The 24,521-nt window shown below is 51.3% G+C and overlaps 1 protein-coding gene and 1 long non-coding RNA gene across 8 annotated transcripts in view, besides 4 other annotated features; one reads left to right on the top strand and one right to left on the bottom strand.

Annotated features, from left to right (window-relative positions):
* Positions 1,792-2,487: an enhancer, noted in NCBI's record as "NANOG-H3K27ac-H3K4me1 hESC enhancer chr7:30681423-30682118 (GRCh37/hg19 assembly coordinates)". NCBI's record gives its function as "activates a minimal SCP1, AML or CMV promoter by ChIP-STARR-seq in primed H9 embryonic stem cells {active_cell/tissue: H9 hESC(primed)}" and the evidence as "EXISTENCE:reporter gene assay evidence [ECO:0000049][PMID:30033119]".
* LOC124901609 (uncharacterized) lies at positions 2,301-20,026 on the top strand. The gene is made up of 2 exons (XR_007060276.1): positions 2,301-2,821; positions 14,303-20,026. It is a non-coding gene; the product is annotated as an uncharacterized LOC124901609 (long non-coding RNA).
* The window catches only part of CRHR2 (corticotropin releasing hormone receptor 2), a 48,162-nt gene continuing 35,567 nt past the window's right edge, over positions 11,927-24,521 (bottom strand). For 2 of the 7 annotated variants that reach the window (NM_001202482.2, NM_001883.5), the window contains exons 6-12: positions 22,679-22,832; positions 22,141-22,201; positions 20,558-20,630; positions 15,912-15,997; positions 15,565-15,700; positions 15,024-15,065; positions 11,927-13,585 (exon numbers count right to left, since the gene is read on the bottom strand). In NM_001202482.2, coding sequence (NP_001189411.1) covers positions 13,445-13,585; positions 15,024-15,065; positions 15,565-15,700; positions 15,912-15,997; positions 20,558-20,630; positions 22,141-22,201; positions 22,679-22,832 — 693 coding nt within the window. In that variant the 3' untranslated portion in view covers positions 11,927-13,444. Of the gene's footprint in view, positions 13,586-14,123; positions 14,867-15,023; positions 15,066-15,564; positions 15,701-15,911; positions 15,998-20,557; positions 20,631-22,140; positions 22,202-22,678; positions 22,833-24,521 lie in introns of those variants that run through there. The other 5 variants (NM_001202475.1, NM_001202481.1, NM_001202483.2 and 2 more) reach the window with 4 other exon arrangements.
* Positions 12,876-13,865: an enhancer, noted in NCBI's record as "H3K27ac-H3K4me1 hESC enhancer chr7:30692507-30693496 (GRCh37/hg19 assembly coordinates)". NCBI's record gives its function as "activates a minimal SCP1, AML or CMV promoter by ChIP-STARR-seq in naive H9 embryonic stem cells {active_cell/tissue: H9 hESC(naive)}" and the evidence as "EXISTENCE:reporter gene assay evidence [ECO:0000049][PMID:30033119]".
* Positions 14,714-15,913: an enhancer, noted in NCBI's record as "MED14-independent group 3 enhancer chr7:30694345-30695544 (GRCh37/hg19 assembly coordinates)". NCBI's record gives its function as "activates an origin of replication core promoter dependent on BRD2, BRD4, P300/CBP and CDK7 cofactors, and independent of MED14, by STARR-seq in HCT116 cells {active_cell/tissue: HCT116}" and the evidence as "EXISTENCE:reporter gene assay evidence [ECO:0000049][PMID:35650434]".
* Positions 22,123-22,665: an enhancer, noted in NCBI's record as "H3K4me1 hESC enhancer chr7:30701754-30702296 (GRCh37/hg19 assembly coordinates)". NCBI's record gives its function as "activates a minimal SCP1, AML or CMV promoter by ChIP-STARR-seq in naive H9 embryonic stem cells {active_cell/tissue: H9 hESC(naive)}" and the evidence as "EXISTENCE:reporter gene assay evidence [ECO:0000049][PMID:30033119]".

Below are 24,521 nucleotides of genomic sequence, written 5' to 3' on the forward strand. Positions count from 1 at the left end.
TTCTCATTGGTTTCAAAGAACATCTTTATTTCTGCCTTCATTTCGTTATGTACCCAGTAGTCATTCAGGAACAGGTTGTTCAGTTTCCATGCAGTTGAGCGGTTTTGAGTGAGATTCTTAATCCTGAGTTCTAGTTTGATTGCACTGTGGTCTGAGAGATAGTTTGTTATAATTTCTGTTCTTTTACATTTGCTGAGGAGAGCTTTACTTCCAAGTATGTGGTCAATTTTGGAATAGGTGTGGTGTGGTGCTGAAAAAAATGTATATTCTGTTGATTTGGGGTGGAGAGTTCTGTAGATGTCTATTAGGTCTGCTTGGTGCAGAGCTGAGTTCAATTCCTGGGTATCCTTGTTGACTTTCTGTCTCATTGATCTGTCTAATGTTGACAGTGGGGTGTTAAAGTCTCCCATTATTAATGTGTGGGAGTCTAAGTCTCTTTGTAGGTCACTCAGGACTTGCTTTATGAATCTGGGTGCTCCTGTATTGGGTGCATATATATTTACGATAGTTAGCTCTTCTTGTTGAATTGATCCCTTTACCATTATGTAATGGCCTTCTTTGTCTCTTTTGATCTTTGTTGGTTTAAAGTCTGTTTTATCAGAGACTAGGATTGCAACCCCTGCCTTTTTTTGTTTTCCATTTGCTTGGTAGATCTTCCTCCATCCTTTTATTTTGAGCCTATGTGTGTCTCTGCACGTGAGATGGGTTTCCTGAATACAGCACACTGATGGGTCTTGAGTCTTTATCCAATTTGCCAGTCTGTGTCTTTTAATTGGAGCATTTAGTCCATTTACATTTAAAGTTAATATTGTTATGTGTGAATTTGATCCTGTCATTATGATGTTAGCTGGTGATTTTGCTCATTAGTTGATGCAGTTTCTTCCTAGTCTCGATGGTCTTTACATTTTGGCATGATTTTGCAGCGGCTGGTACCGGTTGTTCCTTTCCATGTTTAGCGCTTCCTTCAGGAGCTCTTTTAGGGCAGGCCTGGTGGTGACAAAATCTCTCAGCATTTGCTTGTCTGTAAAGTATTTTATTTCTCCTTCGCTTATGAAGCTTAGTTTGGCTGGATATGAAATTCTGGGTTGAAAATTCTTTTCTTTAAGAATGTTGAATATTGGCCCCCACTCTCTTCTGGCTTGTAGGGTTTCTGCCGAGAGATCTGCTGTTAGTCTGATGGGCTTCCCTTTGAGGGTAACCCAACCTTTCTCTCTGGCTGCCCTTAACATTTTTTCCTTCATTTCAACTTTGGTGAATCTGACAATTATGCGTCTTGGAGTTGCTCTTCTCGAGGAGTATCTTTGTGGCGTTCTCTGTATTTCCTGAATCTGAACGTTGGCCTGCCTTGCTAGATTGGGGAAGTTCTCCTGGATAATATCCTGCAGAGTGTTTTCCAACTTGGTTCCATTCTCCCCATCACTTTCAGGTACACCAATCAGACATAGATTTGGTCTTTTCACATAGTCCCATATTTCTTGGAGGCTTTGCTCGTTTCTTTTTATTCTTTTTTCTCTAAACTTCCCTTCTCGCTTCATTTCATTCATTTCATCTTCCATCGCTGATACCCTTTCTTCCAGTTGATCGCATTGGCTCCTGAGGCTTCTGCATTCTTCACGTAGTTCTCGAGCCTTGGTTTTCAGCTCCATCAGCTCCTTTAAGCACTTCTCTGTATTGGTTATTCTAGTTATACATTCTTCTAAATTGTTTTCAAAGTTTTCAACTTCTTTGCCTTTGGTTTGAATGTCCTCCCGTAGCTCAGAGTAATTTGATCATCTGAAGCCTTCTTCTCTCAGCTCGTCAAAGTCATTCTCCATCCAGCTTTGTTCAGTTGCTGGTGAGGAACTGCGTTCCTTTGGAGGAGGAGAGGCACTCTGCATTTTAGGGTTTCCAGTTTTTCTGTTCTGTTTTTTCCCCATCTTTGTGGTTTTATCTACTTTTGGTCTTTGATGATGGTGATGTACAGATGGGTTTTTGGTGTGGATGTCCTTTCTGTTTATTAGTTTTCCTTCTAACAGACAGGACCCTCAGCTGCAGGTCTGTTGGAATACCCTGCCGTGTGAGGTGTCAGTGTGCCCCTGCTGGGGGGTGCCTCCCAGTTAGACTGCTCGGGGGTCAGGGGTCAGGGACCCACTTGAGGAGGCAGTCTGCCCGTTCTCAGATCTCCAGCTGCGTGCTGGGAGAACCACTGCTCTCTTCAAAGCTGTCAGACAGGGACATTTAAGTCTGCAGAGGTTACTGCTGTCTTTTTGTTTGTGCCCTGCCCCCAGAGGTGGAGCCTACAGAGGCAGGCAGGCCTCCTTGACCTGTGGTGGGCTCCACCCAGTTCGAGCTTCCCAGCTGCTTTGTTTACCTAATCAAGCCTGGGCAATGGCGGGCGCCCCTCCCCCAGCCTCGCTGCCGCCTTGCAGTTTGATCTCAGACTGCTGTGCTAGCAATCAGCGAGATTCCGTGGGCGTAGGACCCTCCGAGCCAGGTGCGGGATATAGTCTCCTGGTGCGCCGTTTTTTAAGCCCGTCGGAAAAGCGCAGTATTCGGGTGGGAGTGACCCGATTTTCCAGGTGCCGTCCGTCACCCCTTTCTTTGACTCGGAAAGGGAACTCCCTGACCCCTTGCGCTTCCCAAGTGAGGCAATGCCTCGCCCTGCTTCGGCTCGCGCACGGTGCGTGCACCCACTGACCTGCGCCCACTGTCTGGCGCTCCCTAGTGAGATGAACCCGGTACCTCAGATGGAAATGCAGAAATCACCGTCTTCTGCGTCGCTCACGCTGGGAGCTGTAGACCGGAGCTGTTCCTATTCGGCCATCTTGGCTCCTCCAGGAAGGTCAGATTCTAACTAATTTCCATGGACTGTTATGTAAGAACACAGGAATTAGATTTTTAATACTTAGGTTGGAATTCAGGCATTCAGTCAAATGCAATGTGGAGTTACTTCAGAGAGGCTATCTGCCTGGCTTCTGCAGGAGTCCACCACCTTAATATTGCCCAACAGCTCATAATAGCAAAATGGTGGATATAGATGGTGTTCCAGAAAAGGAATTCATCACCAAGTCTAAAGAACATGGAAATAATCTTACTGTTTTCATGAGCTGGTACTAAAGATGTCAGACGTCTCAAGTTCTTTGTGATAAGAACTTGCAAAATCGTTTTTTTCATTAGAAGTCACATGAAGTAGATTCATTCTAGACCTTTATTTACTACTCCCTTAACCAGTGTAATTGCAGGGTAATGGCAGCAACTGTCTTAGTCAGTGGAGTCTATTCCTTGAGAGGGCTGGATGCCCTAGAGATAAATCCAAATTATCTCTGGTTATAGTTGCCCTGAAATGAACCTTCTTTCCCAAAGGAAAACTATTATCTGTATCTCTTGGGCTGGGCTAGGATGGAGAGGCTTTGAGAGCATTGCTTGCACCGGCATCTTTGCTGATAGTCTGACAATGTTTAAGGCAGGTGTTTGTGGCATTTGGCCAACACCAAAGTGAAATTTAGTTGAAGATTCAGTAAGTAAGTGGATGACTAATTTTGCTGTGCCTCAATGTTCGCCTGTTGTTGCCTGTTCAATAATTCTTGGTTATTGAGCTGCCTCTAAGCAGTAATTTAGTTAAGGCTGTGTGGATATCTGGAGGACTGTCTCCTCTAGAAATTGGGATGTGATTTGGGAGTATCACCAGGGGTTGCCTGAGAGGCGCAGCCTGCAGCTTCGCCCTCTTGGCTAAGAGCCCCTTCACTTTTGCTGGCAACATGCCCCCCTCTTGCTGGATGGGCTATCTTCCTTTCGTGTTGAAGGACACACCTTTGAAAATTTGTTGCCTCAGTAAAAGATGTTGGGGCAGTGGTTCTCAACCCTGGCTGCACATTAAAGTAACTTGAGCTTTAAAAAAAAACTCATGTCTGGGCTCCTCCTTAAACCAATTTAATGAGTTGAGGGTGGAGCCTGGGCATCAGTATATTAAGTCTCTTAGGAGAAGCACCACTACCACTGTTGCACCTTGTGAACTTTCTAGCTGTGTGAAAGGCTGGACCCATTGCTCTCTCAAAAGGGGTTTCCTCTGAGAATATGAATGTGTAGGACATTGTATCCAGTGAGACAGTTAGAGAAGTAGATGTGAGAGTGGGGAAGTGAGCAGTAGGATTTCTGTTTTCCCGGGGAATTTTAGGGAACCTTATTCTTGCTGGATGAGGGTAGTGGTGCCAAAGAGCAGAGGGGTGCTGTGAGCTCTGGGCCAGAAATAAAGTAAGCTGGCTTCTTGTCCTGACTCTTCTAGTGTCTGAACTTAATGATAGTTTCAGGAACTTGAGGCTAGGAAGAGAGAGCCCTTCTCTCTTTGGGAGCCAAAGCTCTCTGCACTCCTTTTTTTAATGTGCAAGACTTAGTGCACAAGTGAGCCTGCATAGAATTTGCCAGCCTATGCCTGCGTTTGCTGGGTCTTAAAACTCAATCACCAATAATTAGCACAAAAGCAGTTATGCTAACGAAAACAATTTAGGCAAATTGAAAGCTTTTTGGGCTCATCAAAACTCACTGTTCTGCATCTAAGTGTGAACTAATTGATAGAGAGATTAAGTACAGTGAAATTGTGGGAAAGAAAAAACCCACTGGCAAGCTTTAGAAAGTCTTTTGTTTTTTAAAAAAAACTTGAGCCCAGATTTTCCATTTTTTTGTCCAGCCTGTCAACTCCACCTGCACTCTATATCAGAATTGGGCCTACTTGTCACCACCTTCGTGGCCACCAGCTTGGGGCAAGCTGCCATCATCACCCATCTGGTTTACTGCAAAAGACTTGCCTGAACTCCCTGTTCGTGCCCTTGCCCCTTCATCAGCAGTTTTCCACCTGGCACCAGACTGCATTGGTCCTCAAAACTCAGTGGCCTTCCTTACCTTTCCTTTCCTTTTTCCTTTCCCCTTTCCTTTCCTTCTCTTTCTTTCTTTTTCTTTCTTTCAGATGGAGTCTTGCTCTATCGCCCAGGCTGGAGTGCAATGGCGCCATCTCAGCTCACTGCAACCTCCGTCTCCCAGGTTCAAGCGATTCTCCTGCCTCAACCTCCCGAGTAGCTGGGATTACAGGTGCCTGCCACTGTGCCTGGCTAATTTTTGTGTTTTTAGTAGAGACGGGGTTTCACCATGTTGGCCAGGCTGGTCTTGAACTCCTGACCTCAGGTGATCCACCACCTCGGCCTCTCAAAGTGCTGTGATTACAGGTATGAGCCACCTCGCTGGTCCAGCTTTTCTTGTCCTGCAAGAATAGCGTAGATCTACGCCACCCCCGTGCCAACCACCCCCATGCTGGCCCTTTTCCAGTGGCCCAGCATGCCCAGGACAGGACCTTGGTACTCAGTTATATTCTGTCTGCCTGCAGTGCTTCCTCCAAAGATAGGGTTCCCACAACCACTCCCTCATCTCGGGATGTCATTCAGCAGTTGCCTCAGTGAGGCCTTCCTCAGCTGCTTCATCTGAAGTTTCAATGTGCGCCACAACCCCCACATTCAGACACATCCCTTTCATATCGCCTTCCTTGTTTTCTTTTTCCTCTTGAGTACTAAACACTTTAAACGTATTTTACTTTTTTATTTTGTTTAATTTTTGGTCTCCACATTAGAATGTAAGTTCCATGAGGACAAGGATTTGGGTCTGTTTTGTTCTTGGCTGTATCCTCATTGCCTAGGGAAGTGCCTAGCACTTAGTAAGTCCTCAGTAAATATATGAATGACTTAATGAACAAATGAATCTTTCCCTGCAGGGCAGCTCTACATTCTGTATTTTGGTATAAAAATTGGCTTAGTTAGAAATGGCTACTCACACACAACTCACCCCTTGGCTCAAGCCCCACGTCTGTACTCTGCAAAAGGCCTGCAGCCACTGAATGGTTGGGCACGAAGGCAGGTTTCCAAACTTAATAGAGTGGTGCCCTTTTTGAAGGAAACAAGACATCAAAAGCCTCTGTAGTACACTCGGAGTCCTCATGTTGAGAAACTTTAGCTAATGTTGTATATTTACCCTAAGACCATCTTCCATTTGACACCAAAAAAAGAGGTAACTGGTAAGCATTTTTAAAGATTATCACTAAAATAAAAGTAAATTTAAAAATCTTTATAACACTGGTGGACTCTGAGAAGAGGTTCCATGCAGAGAAACTATAAGACTTCAAGGTCTTTTAGGGACAAGAGTTCCTGGGCTGGTCAAGGCACCCTGAAAGGAACAGTATCACTGGGTAACTGGTATTGGCATTTCGGGGTTGGACCAGATGTGGCCCTGCCTTCGAGCCCTTTACGACCTGACGGTGAGGCCTAACCTCACATACAGTGAGGGTGGCCATGGAGGAGGCTTGGCCCTGGGCCTAGAAAGGTGACGTCGCCCCGTGCAGTGGTGAGGTGGGTCCTGTGGGACACACGGCGAGCGCAGGGCCTCGTGAGCACTCCTGCAGCCTGTTCACATGTGGGTCCGTGCCTCCCAAGATGTGTTTCAGGGCCTGGGGTGGGGCATCTAAAACACAGCCAGGCCTAAGCACCACCAACTTAGGGAATTCTTGCTAGCTAAATTAGAGTGTTTTAGTTTTATCTTGATGTTAGGGGTTTATAAACTTGGGTCTGTAGTTCCTTCAAGGATTTCTGTGGAGGTGTCATTGCTCTATTTATACCCAACTGTGTTTTTCTAGGGGAATGGATCTATCCCATCTCCAAGGGGTCAGCTGCCCAAATGAAGTCCAGGTCTGATTGCAGGTCATGGGGGCCTCTTTCCAGATTGAGCTCCTTTATGGGGAACCCCACCAGCATTGGCACCTCATTTCTTCAGATGCAAAGATCTTCACATTCAAGTCTGCAATGAAGGGGGAGGGGGGTGGCCCAGAATCTTTCAAGCTGAAGGATGAGATGGATCTGGAGACACCAGGCTGAGGTGTTAATTTGCTTAGGAATTGGGGGCCTCCATAGAGCACACGTGGAAAGTCCCTGAATGGCCAGAGGGAGTACGGATTCCCTTGTAATTGCAGGTACAGCATTTGGGCCGAGCAGGAAGCACAGGGAAAACAGGTGGCTGCATGATCGCTCATGGGCCCCCCACTGGCCTTCCCCAGAGAACACCAGACTGGAACTGGGGTTGAAGGAAGAAATGACGAGTCTTAGAATTTCTCCACCTTCCTGGGTGGAAGGGCCTCTGTGGGGATTCGTGATGCTGGATTGTTTATCATGGTTGGGCCTTAGAGAGCTAGAGGGGGCCTTACTTGGCACTCTACAGAGCTAATTAAGAAGCACAATTAATTACTTCATCATATTCACAGCAGAAGCTGAGGACAGTTTTTTTCTGGAACCGGAATCATAAACTACTTGCCCCTGCTCAATCACTTGTCCACCAAGCAGACACTGAGATGGAACTCAGGACATCACCTCAGAAAATCCTTTCTACTCAGGTTCTCCTTCCAAAGTGCGGTAGCTAACGTTCAGAATTTCCTATGGATCTGGCTTTCATCATTCATTTATCCAAGTAGCGTCTGTGGCCCCTGCTGTGTATGCAGACAAATATGGGGTTTAAGTAGGGTGATCATATAATTCATTGTTCAGACCAGGATTCGTGAGAGTGAAAGGTATGCTATTAATTACATGAGGTCACAGGAATCATCCTGGACTAACGGGGGCAAACCATGTCTCATCCCAGCTTAGAGAACTGCTGAAGAGCAGCCTGCGTCCAATGCCAGTGGGAAGTCGAGAGCCATTGAGGCCTGGGGCCCCTTGGGGTGAGGTTAATCTGGAGACAGCTGCAGGAGAGTCTGCAGGGTGTGATAGAGGCCCTCCGGCTCCCATCTGCTGTCACTCATGTGAAGTAGAGAAGAGGTGATGCCCTCTGTCTGGGACTGGCCTCTGGGCTCTGGTAAGGGTAGGGTATGGAGCCACAGACAGATTTCTCCCGCTGTGCAAAGCCAATAGATCTCTGGGACTTCTTTGTGCCTTTGGTCATTCTTGTGGGTTAACCAGCTCTGGGTGGGACAAATAGGAAAGGCTGGTTTATTTAATGAATGTTTCTAGGGTTTCTCCTGAGTGCAGAACTCTTGCTGTGGGCCTAAGAAACAGCACATGCCCCCTGGAATGACCAGCCCAGCAGTGGAGTCTGTGGAGACTGCTGAAGGAGCCCCTAGAGGGGACATTTCTGACTAATGCATAGGTTTTGCCGGGTGATGGTTCTGTGACGAGGGAGGCCTGCTGCAGCGCTGTATGGGAGGGCCCCGAGGCCTAAACAAACAAATACCTAAGAGGAAAATCTGGCAGAAACTCAGTCAACACAGGGCAGTGATGCCCTCTGCCCATTCCTCCTGCTAATTAACATGTCTAAGTGGCACAGCCCCCTCAGGAAAATTAACGGCACCTTCGAGGCAGAGCCTGGAAGCCATCCTGGGCATATTGATGAGTAGATTCACATGTTTTCTTTCTTTTTTTTTTTTTGAGACTGAACCTCACCCTGTCACCTAGGCTGGAGTGCAGTGGTGTGATCTCAGCTCACTGCAACCTCTGCTTCCCGGGTTCAAGCGATTCTCTTGCCTTAGCCTCCCAAATACCTGAGATTATAGACACGTGCCACCATACCTGGCTAATTTTTGTATTTTTAGTAGATATGGGGTGGTTTCACCATGTTGACCAGGCTGGTCTCGAACTCCTGACCTCAGGTGATCTGCCCACCATGGCCTCCCAAAGTGCTGGGATTACAGGCATGAGCCACCACTCCTGGCGTCGCTGTTGCTTTCTACAGCACGTGTGTGTGTTGGAAAGAAGAGACAAGGGATGTGTCTTTTTTTGCTGGCCCACACCCCAGCTGTCAGAATCACCCGGGGGCCTGTGAAGCGTGTGGATTCCTAGACCCCACCAAGTATGACTTCTGAAGCCTGCTGTGCAACATGCCACCCGGTTGCTTCCAGGTGTGCTCTCAGAACAGGGGGCCGGGCTCCCTGGCTGAAGGGGTCCCCCTGCTTCAAGCCCCTCCTATGCTCTCGGCCACCCCAGCCACTTGTTCCACCTGAGGCACAGCTGTTTACCACCAAACCCTCCCCGACCCTGGCTGAAATGTCACTCTAGGGAAGAACTCCCATTGGGCCTCCCAGCCCTAGGCCTGCCTCCATGACCCATGACGTGTGCAGGGGATACTTTGTTCTCCTGAGCGTGCCATTTTCTAGTCCCTTCACCTGTCCCTCATAGGACAGCTCCCTTCCCGTCCAGCTGCATCAGCACACGTCCCCCACCTGCCCAGGGCTTCTGAAGATGCTGGGGAAAGCACAAGCGGCACAGTTGGGCCTCTTTCCCTATTCTGTTTTTGGGGCATCTGGAGATCCGGGCCTGCATGGGGGTGAAGGGGAAAGAAGTGGGGAGGGCAGCTGAGGTCCTTGTGCCTAGAAGCCAGCTGGCTTGGGGCCACTGTGGGCATGGACTAGGAGATGGACAGGGCAGGGGGCTGGGGGCAGGCGCAGGCTGCAGGAGCCGATGTGTCTTTTGCCTGCCTTTTCCTTGTGCTGTTCTCAACCAGATTATGAGTTTCTTGAAACAGGAAACTTGTCTTTCTGTTACTTCCATATCTGGCACACCCTGGTGTTCTGTGAATGGGAAATGATGGAGGAAGGTGCGTGCGCCTCCCTCTCTGGGTCTGTGCGTGTGTTCCTACAAGTCTTTCTGTGTCCCTGCCCTTGTGTCATTTCCATCTGGGCCTCCCTCTCTGTGGCCGCGGGAATGTCGGCCTCCATCTCTAGGGAAGTCTATATGCTGAAGGGACTTTCTGCGAGTGCCATCCCTCACAGGTCTTGAGGCTTCAGGCCCTCAGGTAGCACCTCCACCATGGGCACTCCCAGCAGGGGACTGGGAGAGAAATGCCGTCCCTGCCATTCACCTCCTGCCCCACAGATGTTCCACCACTCGCCACTCCTGCCGCCGTGTGTCATTTACCAGCTTGTACCCCAGCAGGTACTTTCTAGCCGCACTTTGATGATGACCCAGGGACTTGGAGCTGTGCTGGGGTCAGGGCTCTGCCTGTTACTCTCTCTTGGAGTGGGGCCAAGAGGCTGGTGTGAGGACCTGTGGCTGGTTCAGGTCTTCCCCAGTTGTGTAAATCAGGGTGGGTGAAAGGGTTAAACAGGGACCCTAAGGGCCTCCAGGATCTGGGTGCTGGAACTTGCCTGCTACGGAGAAGGAGAGTCTGCTAATGAGGCCACTTTCCAGGAAGGCCAGCTCCACGAGGTGCTGCCAGCGCCGAAGCAGATGCTAATGAGGACTGGCTTGGCTTAAGGAACAGGTGCCTAACGAGCTTAACAAGTAGGGACCCAGAGAGATGGCCTAATGGCTCTGGTGGCATTTTAAGGATAGAGCTCAGTGGGAGCCACAACCAGGAGACGGAGTAATGAGGGATTCAGGGCTGGGGTTGGATCAAGGAGGAGCCTCCTCTGAACTGGAGAGAGAGCATATCGAAGTGCCTGCTGAACAAAGGTTAGCAACTTTGATGCTCTTCCTGGTGTTGGCCTTGGCAGGCCTGGCCTCCCAGCAGGGATCACAGGCCCTTGGTCCCTCCAGGGAGCAAAGGACAGTTGGCGTAATGAGCCGGGGGCTGCATTAAGAAGCAGTGATGAATGCCTGGGACTTGGTGCCAGGCTCTGCAGCGTCTGCTCCGATAAGCACTTGTTCACAGCCTCATCTGGCCACAGAAATCTCCAAGTGGCCTCTTGGGGGCCAAACCATTTGCGGCTCCTTGTTCTACAAGAGCCCTGATGATGCTAATGGATGCGGCCATCATGCTGCCACTGGGTATGCAGTAAGACTTTCTAAGATACCCTGAGTTCTGAGTTCTGTCACTTGAGAAAATAAAATCAGGGTGCCCCAACCTCCCTGCCCTCTTGACAAGAGAAGCAGGGCTCACACTTAACCTGCAGTGCATTCCCACACAGCTGGTGGTGAAAAATGGAATGAGCTGATGACATGGGCGCCCAAAGCCTACTGCAAGTCAGATAACGTTCAGTTCATCTTTTTCAGCCAAATTGAAAGGACACTTAATTAAACAGCCAGCTGATAGGTCATTTTTGGTGACAGATCACTATGCAGTTTTGACTGTACATCTCAGCAAGAGTATAGAGAATTGACTATCTGGAGTGCCAGATCATCTACTGAATTGAAAAGGCTTCTCAGCACACCCCACTATAAACAATAAAACATTAAAAAAGAAAAGAATTGATGCTGAGTCCTGATTTATTCTAGCAATAAATATTCACCTGTAGATTCATGAGCCATTAACTTCCTATCCATTTCATTAAGCTGTGTTTTCAATACATTTTCCTTTTTAGGTTTAACTAGTTACTTATAAAAACTTTAGGTATCTATGTTGTTTTAATCAGTGGCTTACTGTATTTTGTATCAAAAAATAATTGTAATAATTCAACCCAGAAGATTATTTTAAAATCCCTTGAAACTTTGGTCATAGAAAATGAAATATTTTAATTTTCATTCATACATATATTGTGTGGCAGAGAAGTATGACAAAGTGAGCAATAAAACACTTTCAGCCATAAAAGTAATGCATTAGTATAAAATTCTATAGGGCAATGGAATGAAGCTACACATTAAAGAGGAAAGAAACAATGTAACATTTCCCACAATTAAAGCGGAGCTGGCCAGCCTGAGCAACATGACCAGACCCTGTCTCTACAAAAAAATACAAAAATTAGCCCAGCATGGTGGTGCGTGCCTGTAGTCCCAGCTATTCGGGAGGCTGGGTTGGGAAGATCACCTGAGCCTGGGAAGTGGAGGTTGCAGTGAACTGAGATCTTGCCACTGCACCCTAGCCTGGATGACAGAGTGAGACCCTGTCTCAAAAAAAAAAAAAAAAAAAAGAAGAAGAAGGAGAGCTGGGTCAGGTGTTTTTAAAATAGATGAGGGTGGGTGTTAAATCACCATGGTGATCAGAATTCATTTGATGTATTTTAAATTGTTGCAGCAGTTTTATTTAAAAATGTAAATATTTACAAAATGGCAGAAATCACACCTTTGAAGGATTTAAAACTTAAGTAAAAAATACTACATGTCAACTTAAAAATGTGCAAGACGGGATACATGATTTTTCAAAACTTATTTTTGTAGGGGGTACCTAGAGCATTGGTTTCTTTTGGAAGAAATGGCCTGATGCTTCTCTCTCCCTGACTCCTGCGGCTCCGCTGCAGGGACACAGGGACGGAAGCCAAGCCTGGAAGCTGCCCTGGTGGTCAACTGAGGGGCCATGTCTACCCTGCCCACCAGATTCCAGAGCCTTGGCCTTTGGGACAGGCCCTGGCTTGCTGGATGAGCTGCACACCTCCTCCAGGCTGAATCAAGCTGCCCTTGGTTGGGGGCTGGGGCCAGGTATTAGCCTGGTTGGAGTGATAAGGGACAGACCCGCCTGCAGGTGCTTTGACCATAAAGACTCCAAACCTACCAGAGGTCAGAGAGAGAGAGAACTGGCCCGAGGCCAGGGCCCGAGCCCACTAAGGAAGATGGATGTGGCCCCCTCAGACCCAGCCACGATCCTTGGCCCACACCACTCTTCGGGTGCCTGGGTGACTTGACCTGAGGGGAGGCCACTTCCAAGAGGCATGGTTTATTTCACAGAGAGCAGAGATGTTTCTGAAGGGGAGACTGGAGGGCAAAGGGCAATGGGGTATGAGTTTCAATCACTGAAGACATGGTTGGTTTCTGCTATTCCCATCCCACGCCTCCCTCCTCCATGCCTCTGCTCCTCATTTTGCCCCGCACGATGCAACTGGTTGACTAAGGATGTGGCTTCCCTGATGGCGTCTTCCTTGATTGCCTAATCTGTGGACTAGGCAGAGAAGGGGTCTCCCAAGAGAGGAAGCCAGGCCTGGAAGCCTGCATCCTTCATGGAGCCCCCAAGGCGGGAGGATGGCTGGGGAGGGGACACAGGAACAAGGGTGGGGTACAAGTGAGCCTCTCTAGGTGACAGCCCCTGGGATAAGGCAGCCAAACTGATCCTTTGCTGGCGTACCCCACCCAACTGCAGGGGCACCACTGAGTGTGGAGGCCAAGGGCCAGTGCAGGGCCACACCATTGCCTGGCTGCTGGCTCCATGAGTAGGGCAGGGGAGCCCTGTGTCTGCTACTATAAATAGCTGTGTGTGTTGGACAGGTCCTTCTCTGCTCTGGGCCCAGTAAGGCCCTGGCCAGAGAGGCTGGGATGGGCAAATGCCTGCAGACATCTGACTGGCTCTTCTCAGGGGGTCCTGTGAATTCCCTCTGCTTCCTCTTGCGCTGAGCCTGGTGGCCCCCACTCATCCCTGTCCCTTGCAGTCCCCCTTGGCTGCCGCACCCCCTCTTTCCTGCCAGGCTGGAGAGCTGGTCTCTCCCCTCCCATCTCCTGCCCCACGAGAGCCTGCCCAGCACAGAGAACCCAGAGGAAGAAGGTGGAGGAGGACAGGGGAGCTGTGCAGGTGGGCGACCGAGGGGTCACACAGCGGCCGTCTGCTTGATGCTGTGGAAGCTGATCCGTGTGGGTGATGTAGGGATGGACATGGCCCGGGCCATGGGGACTCGAAGGGAGTGATGGTCCTGCCAGCGGTGCCACCTCTTCCTCACGGCTGAGCGCACCTGTGGGGAAGGCAGAGGCTCAGCTGGCTCCCAGGGACCAACCCTGGGCTTCTGGGACCATCCCCTCCTCTGCTTTCTGCTCTCATGGGTCGACTGCCACCCTCATGACAAGGAACTGTCTGCTTCCAAAACAGGTCCTTCCCTGATGCTGTTGCCTCTCTCCAGGGGCCTCTTCCTTATCCTTTTCCTGGAGAAGCTTGACTCCACACCTCCTTTACTCCACACTGTCCTCCCAGATCATCCAGTTTCCTCTGGACACACTGCCTTCCCTTCCCTGACTCACTCTGCCACCTCAAAATTAGCATCTTGGGACCAGAGAGCGCAGCTTGGAGACTTGGCCCCCTCAGCCTTCTTGGGCCCCTGCTCCTTGCAGGGCGTTGGTGGTGTGCGCCCAGCTCACACACCTGGTGCGCCTCCTCCTCCCTCCTGAAGACCGTCCCCTCTGCACCCCTCCACCTTCTCTACCTCCTGCTAGACTCCCCTGCCTGACTAACCATGGCATTTACTGCCTGAAAGGGAAAGCTCTCTGTCTTGGTCATTTCTAAAGTTGGCTCTACCCGGTGCCATTTAAGCTTCATTTGTTTGGTAATTGAATTTTTTTGGAAATTGGATGGTGTCTCTCACATCCTAGCTTGCACATGGTTCGAACAGAATAAATGCTCCATAAACATCCCTTGTTTGTTTGCCTTACTGGCCCCCTCTCTTCTTCTCATCCAGCCCACAGGACCCGTCTCTGCTGATGGACTTTGCAAGTGGAATGTGCTATCATCCACAGAGACACAGGCCTGCATAGACACCTCGCCAGTGCCCTGTGCAGAGACAGGCAAGTGTATTCCTCTGGAGTGTTCGGAAGCTCCCAGGCCCTAGGGGCTGTGTCTGCTCTTTGCTCCATGTCCTCATCCACCCCAGCCCAGGTACGAGTGCGCTTCTTCCCTGCGTCAGCTGCACTGGGGCTTTGGGCCTCATGATTGGCTTGCACATGCCAAGCTTCACGGCCGCCTGACTCCCCAGAGCCTGCTCTTGGTGTGTGGGCTTTTCTGTGGCAGGTAGCGGGGGAATGTGCTGGTCTCTCTTCTGCTCCCTGAGTCCATACAGACCTGATTGCTTGGCACACATCTCTTTCTGGAAGCTTCCTTCTGTCACCACCTCTGCTCTGGCTTCTCTCTTCCATGAGGCCCTGCGGCCTGGGCTTCCTTGCTCACCCAGCTCTGAGTGCACATGTGGGGTGCTGGCATGTTATTTCGGGGCTGCATAGTTGACCTTCTAAACTGGCTCCAGCCCCTGTGAGAAGGATTCCTGTTCCCCTAAGGCCGGGTGGTATCTCAAGGCTTCCTCTCCCTGGCACTCCAGCAAGGCCGGGCAGCACCAATGGAGCTGCCCTGGAGTGGGGTCTGAGGACCTGGATATCCCAGGCCACCCCGAGGGCCCAGCTTCATACCTCTCCATTGAAGAAGCAGTAGAAGACAGACACGAAGAAACCCTGGAAAGGAGGGAAAGGAGGGAGTGGTCAGTGACCTACCTGCGGAGCTGTTCTGCCTGGTGGGGTGGCACTGGGGACAAGATGGTGGGGGGGGGACAATTTGACCCAGGAACCCCTGGAGTCAGAGCTGGGTGGGGTCCTAGCCTCAGGGTGCAGATATTCCACGGTCCACTCTGAGTGAGCAGTGGTCACAGGCCTGGAGCCAGGCAGACTCCGGTCTCCTCAATATTGTGTGACCTGTCCCAGGGCATTTGGTTGGGCTGCCTGCATCCTCAGAACAGGTGCTGGGACAGTAGGTGCGGGCTGGTAGGATGAAGACCCAGGCTGGGATGGGGATAACTGGCCAGGCTCAGGCTGAGCATGTACGGGCTTCTAACTCTGTGGATGTAACTGAGCCATGGGTGTGCCAGTCCCACGGGACCCCCTTAGTGAGGGCATGGCTGCCAGAGCAGCCTCAGGAAAGCTCACTGTGGGGCCCCCATCTGGTCACAGGCCCCACCTGGAACGACTGCAGGAAGGAGTTGAAATAGATGAACATGATCTGTGACAGGTCGTCCTCCCCGGGATTGACGAAGAAGAGCATGTAGGTGATGCCCAGGAGGGGCAGGAGCACCAGGGTGGCCTTCACTGCCTTCCTGGGGGCGAGAGGTGGACACAGGTCTGAGCCCATGCGGCAGGCAGGGCCTCACCCAGTGGGCGGCGGGAGACAGTGGTGGTGTTTCTTCCGGGAGCTTGAGCGAGCTCCCTGGGTGAGGCCTGGGGCAGAGGGCTCTGCCAGGAAGCAGGGGGACGGCCCGATGACCTCCTCCTGTCCCCATTGTGGGGTCAAGGGACCCCCTCACATACCTGTACTGGATTGTCTCGGATGTGGTGGACGCGCGTAACTTTGTCATTAGGATCCTGACGATGTTGAACAGAAATACGAAATTGATCTGGAGGGAGGGCGGGCATGGGAAAGAGGGAAAAGGAAGGAGCACGTGTTTGAGATGAGCCGAGAGGCAGCCCCCTTCCCCGCAGACCCCTGGAAACCGATGTCCCACGCACACACCTATCCTACCTGTCCCCCTAGCACCTGCCAGCATCCCAAGGCCTGTGCTCCTCCCTCGCCAGGATGGGGAGACAGCCCCATTTTCCAGGGCCTGTGTCTCCAGCCCAGGACTGAGGAGGAAAGGTGGCAGCCTCTGTGGGTCGTGACCGAGAGCACGGGGCATGCCCTCTGAGGCTGAGAAAGCCCCCAACCCTCTCCCCAGTATAGGGACCCTATGGGAGCCCCCTTCCCCTCACTGCCACGGGGTCCCTACTTGTTGACTGCGGGGCTCTCTGAGTCCCTTGCACTGTCACTGGCTCTAGGTCGGCCTGAGGTCCTTCTGACTGAGGACAGCACTGCCATGGTGGGGCGGACAAGGCCAGATGGAGGGATTAAGAACTCAGTTGCCGAATGAGTGATTAATCTGCCAGCATCCCACCCCTGTGCCCAGGAACTCCAGAGCCTTCGTAGGCACCCTAGACAGGGAAGATGGATGGGCTGTGGGGCTGGCTCTGAGGCCCCAGGAAGGGCCTCATTTATCTTCATTCTGAGTTTTCCCTCAGCACCAGAGCCTCCCCACCCAGCACCTGGCCCTGGAACTGGCCTGTGTGGCTCCCCAGCTGCTCCCTGCTGGGTGTGGGTCCCCATGGGCCTGCGAGTGTCTGTTCATCTGTATTGGCTGTGACTATGACTGTGTTGTCCCCTGGGAGCTGCAGTGTGGGTCTGTGGGTCTATCCTTTAAGCACTTGTGCAAGTGTGTTTGCCTCACAGAGCGTGTGCATGTGTGAGCATGGATCTGGGGCCCGGGCACATCTGCGTTTCTCTTCACCTGCCTCCGAGCATAGGCAGGCAGGCAGGCAAGGGAGTGTGTGTCGGCCTGACACAGTGGGGCTGTTTCCTGACAAAGTGCTCGTGGGCCAGAGGGAGACACATGTTAGCCCAGGGGTGTCTGCTGGCTCGTGTGCACACACCCACTCACACACACACACACACACACACACACCTCTGACACTCTGTCAAGAAAATCCATTGCTTCTTAAGCTTGGGCTGGGCCCTTCTAACCCTCCCAAGTTCTGAATCCTGGCTGGGAGAGGAGGGACACAGGATACAGACAGATATCCTGAGACTGTCAACCTGTAGCCTCTGGATGCTCCCCACAAGCTTTCGGGTAGCCCTAGGGGCAGGGAGAGCTCACACCCCACCTCAGCCACTGTCTACTGCTCTCTTACCACATAGTGGTATGGCCTGGGGGTCCCAGGGAGGGCTGGGGATGGAAAGCCTTCAGCGGGGCTGCCATGACCTGATACCCCCAGCTTTCTCCTAGGGCTCACCTAATTTCCAGCTCCTGGGTCTCTGGCATATTCCCCTGGATCATGGGACACAAGTCACCTTAACATATAAGTGAATCCTAATTTTCTCATACAAGTAATACAAAGTATTTGACCTTTTCTGATTCTTCCGGACTTCCCTGAGAGTAGAAACTGTTGGAATCAAAATATATTCTCATTTCTGCCACATTTTCTTGAATTCAATATTAATCTTCCAACATCCATCAACCCACTAATCAATTCAATTATCCACCCACTTTATTCATCTATCCATCTATCCACTTACCTACCAACCAGTTCATTCATTTACCCACCTACTTTTATCCATCCGTCCATCCATCCATCCATCCAGCCATTCATCCATTCATCCTTCCTTCCTTCCATCCATCCATCCATCTACCCAACAACCAATTCATTCAATTATCCACCTACTGTTTTATCTATCCATCCACGTACCCATCCATCTACCCATCCATCTACCTACCCAATAACCAATCCATTCAGTTATCCACCTACTCTTTTATCTGCCCATCCACTGGCCCATCCGTCTATCCATTCATCTACCTAGCAACCAAGGCCTTGTCTCCATCCTTACACTTGGCAGACATTTAGTTATGTGGCCCCACTCATCTCAGCTTGGGTCTATGTAACCTGAAAATCCTTCTTTCCTTTGAGCCTGTTTCCCAGCCTCCCCCTTCACACCACCACAGGTACCTTCCTCTCTCTCCAGGGAGCCTTCTGGTCACCCTGCCCACACTGAGCTCTCCGGCTTTCCATTCTTGGACTCTACCTCCCTGCTAAAAACACACTCCAGTTCTTTAGTAAGAACTGTCTATTGTACCCTGCCCTCGTTCAGCCTGTTTCTGGTTTTATTTAATTGTTCATTCATTCAATGAATCAATGGACCATGTGTCAGGCTCTGAGCCAGGCATCAGCGATGGCGAAGTGGACAGGCAGTCACAGCCCCTGCTTGCAGAGGGCTTGTGGCCTAGCTGGGGGCCTGGAGGGGTTGGGGGTGGGGGAGATGACATCTTTCCTAAGGTGTCAAAAAGACCTGGAGAAATGGCAGATGGGCTAAGAACTGAAGATGAGGCCCCCCTCCCAAATGAACTGAAGCACCAAGTCCTAGTCTCATGGCTCAAATTTTGACTGTTCCAATTTGCAGTTGTGTGGCCTTGGGTAAGTTGCTTAACCTCATGAGCTCCTGCTTCCTTGTCTGCCCCCGAGGGGCCTAACCACAGAGCTTGCCTTAGAAGATCAGCATGGGCTGAAATAGTCACAGAGACCACTAAGACCTGTGTCTGGCCTAGTGACTGCCAATCCTTTCCCATGACACCAACAATGACAACACCAGCAAGAAGTCAGGCTTCCTGCAAATTCAACCACCTGATTCACTTCTCAGAACCAGAAATAAGTGAGTGTCTCTTAGCAGCAGAAATGCAGCTGTGAGCTGCTGGGGAGTGTAGGGATGGCAGGAACACCAAACACGTGTCCAACCTCGAGGACAACAGGCAGATGGTGGGGACAAAGCAGGAGACCTGCCTTTGAGCCTCTGCTCTGCTAGCTATTAGTGGTGACCTTGGGCAAGCCACTTCATCTCTCTCAGCTTCTTCCTCTGTAAAATGGAGAGCATAACCCTACTTCTTTTAGGACTTGAGCATGCAAGGGTTGGAAATAATGTAGATAGAGCTTCTGGAAGGGCTCAGCTTGGAATGTGGAAGCCCCTGTTGGTGCAAAGAGCTGGGCCCAAAGGAAAGAAGGAAAGGGCTCGTGAGCACAGACGCAGGGGTGGAGCCAGAGAATGGGTCTGGAAGAGGAAGCATGGAGCTGGGTCTTGACACTGAGCTCTTGCGTTCCTCGCCTCCCTTTCTCTTGGCATTTCCTCACCACCCTTCCAACATCTTTACAGTTGGGGCTTACTCTTTGCCACCATTGGTCCCCCATCCAGGCCAGCCTTCCTTGGCTCAGTTCCAGGCTCATCAAAAGCCTTATTCCTCCAGGATGGCCCTTGGCAGCTGGTTGGGAGGGAAAGGATCTCATGGGGTTTCCATACACACTGAGGGGTGAGTGACTCACTGCAGCTGGGAGTCCAAGGACAATCCTACTAGCTGCTGACAAAACCTGGCTTCTGCCTCTGAAGCGAACCAAGCCCTGACGGTGGAATTTCCAGCAGTGGGTGAAAAACCTTCCTAGTCTTCATCAGTTCACATATATCAAGGACACTCCAAAGATGGAGGTCAAATGAAACCCGAAGTCACAGAAAAAGGAGAGTAAGAAAATAAAAGAGATAAATAATAATTGTCTCCAAGGTAGACAAAAGAAAGCCCCACCAGGCACCTTCTGTGTGCAGGAGGAGATGGCACTCTCGCTGAGTCTCCCAGAAGGAACTGTGGCCCTTTAAGGAAGCTGGTACATACAGGAGCCTGAAATTACTGAGCCTGAAATAAGTCTTACGTAAATGCCAATTTCTTACGGGGCTTTTTTGTATGTCTTTCTTTCTTTATCTCTCTCTCTTTTTTTTAAAGGTATGATATATAATGGGTTCCTTTTGCAGAATGCAGCCTCTACTTGAACTCTCTCTTAATTAAAGCTCATTGTGGATTAAAGATGTGTGGCAATTATACCTTAGATGCAAATACATTTGGCAAAGGGCAGGGAGCTGGACAAGGAACAATTCCTCATTATGCTGCATCCCGGTATTCACCGCTTCAGGCTGGGGGTGGTGGGCTGGACCTGGAGAGGGTCACTGGGGGCTGAGGGGAACGTAGGTCTGGAATGAACAGAAGCCCGCACACTCTTCTCTTGTCACCAGCTGCCTGCTCACCTGGCTTTCTCAGCATTGTACAGTGTCAGACCGGGAGGGCACAGGAAGTCTACCCATCAGATCCTTTCTCCTCCCAGAGAAAGAGCCCTGAGGTCAGCAGAGTGGTGCAGGGCTGCGCCAGGGCATCGAGCATGAGGAAGGGAAGGCCGGGTGGTGCTGGGGCACAGGGTGGCATGGACAGGGTACGGGGGTGGCATATAGAGTGTGTGCGCAGGGCTGCCCATGCCACATCTTTCCCAGCGTCTCTGCCTGGGTGGGCCCTCTTCTGTCCTCTTGGCACCCAGCCCCATCCCAGCCACCGCTGAGGGCTTACCAGGAGCACGAGAATGATGGGGCCTTGGTAGATGTAGTCCACCAGGTCGCCAGGCTCCTTGCCAAACCAGCACCTGTGAAGATGGGGTGGCTGTAGGGGGCCTCCTGAGCTGGAACTGGGGGACCCCCACAGACTTGGGCCCAGGGTCCTCCAGCTTTACCCTTCCTGAGACCCAATCTCCAGGACTGCCCCTTCCCAGAAAGCCTTGGTGGAAATACCAGCTCCACTGACCACCCTTACCCACCAGGCTGTCTTTTGCTCTACATGGTGGGTCTGATCTCCCCAGCCCGACTGAGGACAGGCCATGGGTCTCTTTCTCCTCCTCTTTTACCTGCCCCATTGCAGACTGCTAGGCATAGGACTGGGCATGCAGGAGGCACAGGAATAAAGGGAGAGCTGGGCTCCCCCTTGCTGGCCCAGGGCCAATTGCCTTAGGCCACCTGTTCCCATATTGCTTGAAACCCGCTGTTCCGTGTGCCAGGCACTCACTCGGCCACACAAAGCAGCAGATGTGGAAGTGGAGCCTTCCTACCTCCAGCCTGGGATTTTGCGTCTTTGAGCCAATGCTTGTGCACCCAGTGAGGGGAGCTGCTGCCTGGCTGGCCTCACTGGCTGCCAGAGGCATAATTCATTCTCCGGGGATGCTGGTCAGGGGAAATGCTTTAGGGTCTGGGTCGGCCAGCAACTACTGGACCACAGGGAGGGGCCATCAACTTTGGGGAACTCATTCCTCTGAAATCTTGGAGGTCATCCAGTGCAGACCTGCCTCAGATAGGATTCTCCCTGTCTCCCAGGGTTTCTGGCCTCTGCTTGGAGCCCTCCTTTGACAGGAAGCTCACCACCTACCAAGGCAGCCCTCTTCTTGGGCAGCTTTTACTCTTACAAGCTCTTCCTAATGTTGAGCTCCTGGAACTCTACTCCATTCTTGCCCCCACTCTGAGAACAGATCCCCTCTGCTCTCTCCAGGCTCTGAGACAGACCCCTTGGAGATTTGCATACAGGCTAATGTTCCCTGGTCCCCGCTGCTCTCAGCTGGTGACACCTGACTTTCTGGCTGCTCCTTGGCTGACCCATGGCCAGAGTTGCTGTCATTTGGGCTGTGGCTCAGCATATTACAGCCTCTGGCATAGGGAGAACCTCAGGATGGGACACTGCACCCAGGCAGAGACTGAGACTTCAGAAAAAAAAACAAGCTCTGTTAAATGCTCATGGACTCTTTAAATGCTCATGGACAGCTCTGGATGTCATGTGCGGCCTTGGCCCCTTCCACATACCCCGGGCCAGAGCTGCCACATCCAAGTCTGAGGAGGCCTTACAAAGACCAAAGGGGTCATGCGTTGGGTCGGGGGGCACTTCAAGGAACCACAATTCCTAACTTAATTCAGCAAAGTTCCTTGAGCCCTACCATGTGAGTACCTCTGAGTGCAGGACTATTTTTTTCAATTTAAGGACAACAGGAACGTGGATCTGTCTAGGTGTGGCTACAATTCCTGCTCCACGGCTTGGCCAGAGCCCAAGGCTGACCTGTCCTAACACCCCCATTCCCTTCCCCATGACCCCCCATGGCTGGCCCATCCACTTACTGTTCATTCTCATAGTAGAGCTTGCCGATGGCCCAGGCGACGATGATGGGGAAGGGGATGCCTGAAAGAAGGAAAGACTTGGGCTGCAGGGGACAGATGGACAGGGACTTTCTTGTAGGACATACCGTGGGGTACCACAACAGGGCTAGGATCATGTTTTTACTCTTCCAACAGCAGGCCACCCACAACCCCAGGGGTGCCCTGTCCCTCAACACCTGGCCCATGCCCCTGCCCCTCTCTCCAAGCAGGGCTGCGTGATTTTGTGATAGAGAAGTAGAGCCAGCCAGTTTCTGAGCCAGAGACAAAGGCCTTTGGACAGGTCCTTCCTGGCAGGGGGAGAAGAGCTATTTGAGGAATATCCTTTGGAGAGATCCTTTGCTTGTTCCTCACCAGCATGGAGGGAAGTAGCTGCATCCACCGGACTGCGCTGGGGGTGGAGGGCAGGGCCAGGCTCTGGTCCTTGGACCCAAGACGAAGGGAAATGGCCTGGTGAGAAGTCCTCCCCCCAACTAGGCCCTGCTGCCCCTGGGACCCTCACACCATCCGATGAAGAGGAAGAGGCACTTGCGCAGGCGCTCAGTGGAGTAGGTCATGACAATGGCCGTGTGCAGGTAGCAGCCTTCCACAAACATCCAGAAGAAGTTGGTCACCACGAAGTAGTTGAAGATGGTGGTGATGCAGCGGCACCAGACCTGTGTGCAGGGCAGAGAGGCTGTCAGGAGGCAGCTTGGGGCCCAGGTAGGACATACCCATCCCCAGGCAGGGCAACAAGACACAGGGCTCCCCAAAGGGGGTTCGTGGACATGCCATCAAATACCAGCGAACCTCACTCTGAAAAGCTTCATCCTTCTCCAGTGCTCTTTCACACTTTCAGATTAAGTTAAGGTGCCATTCTCCACTGGGGCCAACGTGTTTTTTTTAACTTCTCTCTAACTCTTTCTAATTTTTCATTCTAGTAAAGAGAGCAAGAGTCTGGCTCTGAGCTTTCTGTAGGCAGAGGCTGGAATTCAACCATCTTGTTGTGTTTTCATTTTAGTTTTTTTGAGTCATTTTCAATCCATAGCAAGTCAGACCTGCTTCCTTTTGGGGATGGGATATGGAATTTCATTTAGAAAAAAATGAAAAAATAAAAGTGAGTAAAGTGAGTCAAGGGTGTATGAAGTGGGGCTGCGGCCAGGGAGGGGATTCTCCAAAGACTCTGGGTTTGGGAACTTCTGGACTTGGCACAATTATTACTAGCTCTGGAGGGAGACTTGCAAAGTACACGGCCCCCGGCAAGTCACTGCACCTCTCTGAACCTCAAAAAGTAACCCTGCCTTCCAGGGTGGTTGAAGGAGATAGAGGATGGCAAAGACAGGCATGAGGGTAGCTGTGTTGTGGCTGTGGTTGTGCCTGCTGTGGTTCCGTGCCTTCCCAGCAGAGGGGAATGTGTCCCTGTCCCTCTGAGCAAGGCCACCCTTCCCCAGGCACCAAGGCTACCTTCCCAAAGGAGGCAGGGAGGGGAAGACCCTGCCCCTTTAGAGCCACGCAGTGGGCCATGGCAGGGCCAGGGTCTAGACATTGGGCTTCCAGGCCAGAGCTCCTCTCAACAGACCCCACCTGGTCATCTTCCCCACAGGCTCATCCCCAGGGCACCCTGAGAGCCAAGGCTGGGACATGGGGAATGATGGAGCCAGCTCAAGGTCCGGGGAGCTGTGCGTCAGGGGCTCTGCTTCTGCACACAGCCCATCCTCTCTGTCTGGCTCTGACAGCCCCAGTTCTCAGATAACCCTCCTGTGCTGAGCTGTTGGCTGCTTCTGGGCTTCCCTGCACAGTCCCTGTGGCTGGCTGTCTCCTTTTTTCTGAGAAAGTCCTGCTGAGGTGGGAAGCTACCAAGCCCCTCCTCCCAACCCTACTTTTCATCCAGGGTTGATGATGTTCTATTAGCACAAGCCCACGTTGGAGCTAGAAGGCACCCTCAACTCGAGTGAACCTGTTTGATTCTGAGGCAGTGTTCTATGTGGGACCATGTTAAGGATCACACCAGGCTGGTGTCTGCTCAGGCACAGGCCACCCAAAGGAAATGTACTGAGAAGTCTCTGTCGGTGTGCCACAGGGCTCTGTGATGGCCCAAGACTAGTCTACAGTTTTACAATAGCTTGGACACAGTACACAGCAATGGACAGAAATCCAGAGTGGACAGTTAGCATGTGGGATAGCCCCTTATGTAGAGGTATCATCACTGCATGTGACCTTGGCGAGTCACTTAACCTCTGTGAGTCTCAGTTTCCATGTCTATGTAATGGGGAAAATGATCCCTGCTGGTCTCATTAGGATTAAGTGAGAGAAAGCTCAACAGAGGTTAGTTCTAGCTTCCTTTTCTCAAAGGGGTCTTTGAGGGC

This window comes from Homo sapiens, chromosome 7, assembly GCF_000001405.40.
Source record: "Homo sapiens chromosome 7, GRCh38.p14 Primary Assembly".
In the NCBI taxonomy this organism is placed as follows: Eukaryota; Metazoa; Chordata; class Mammalia; order Primates; family Hominidae; genus Homo; species Homo sapiens.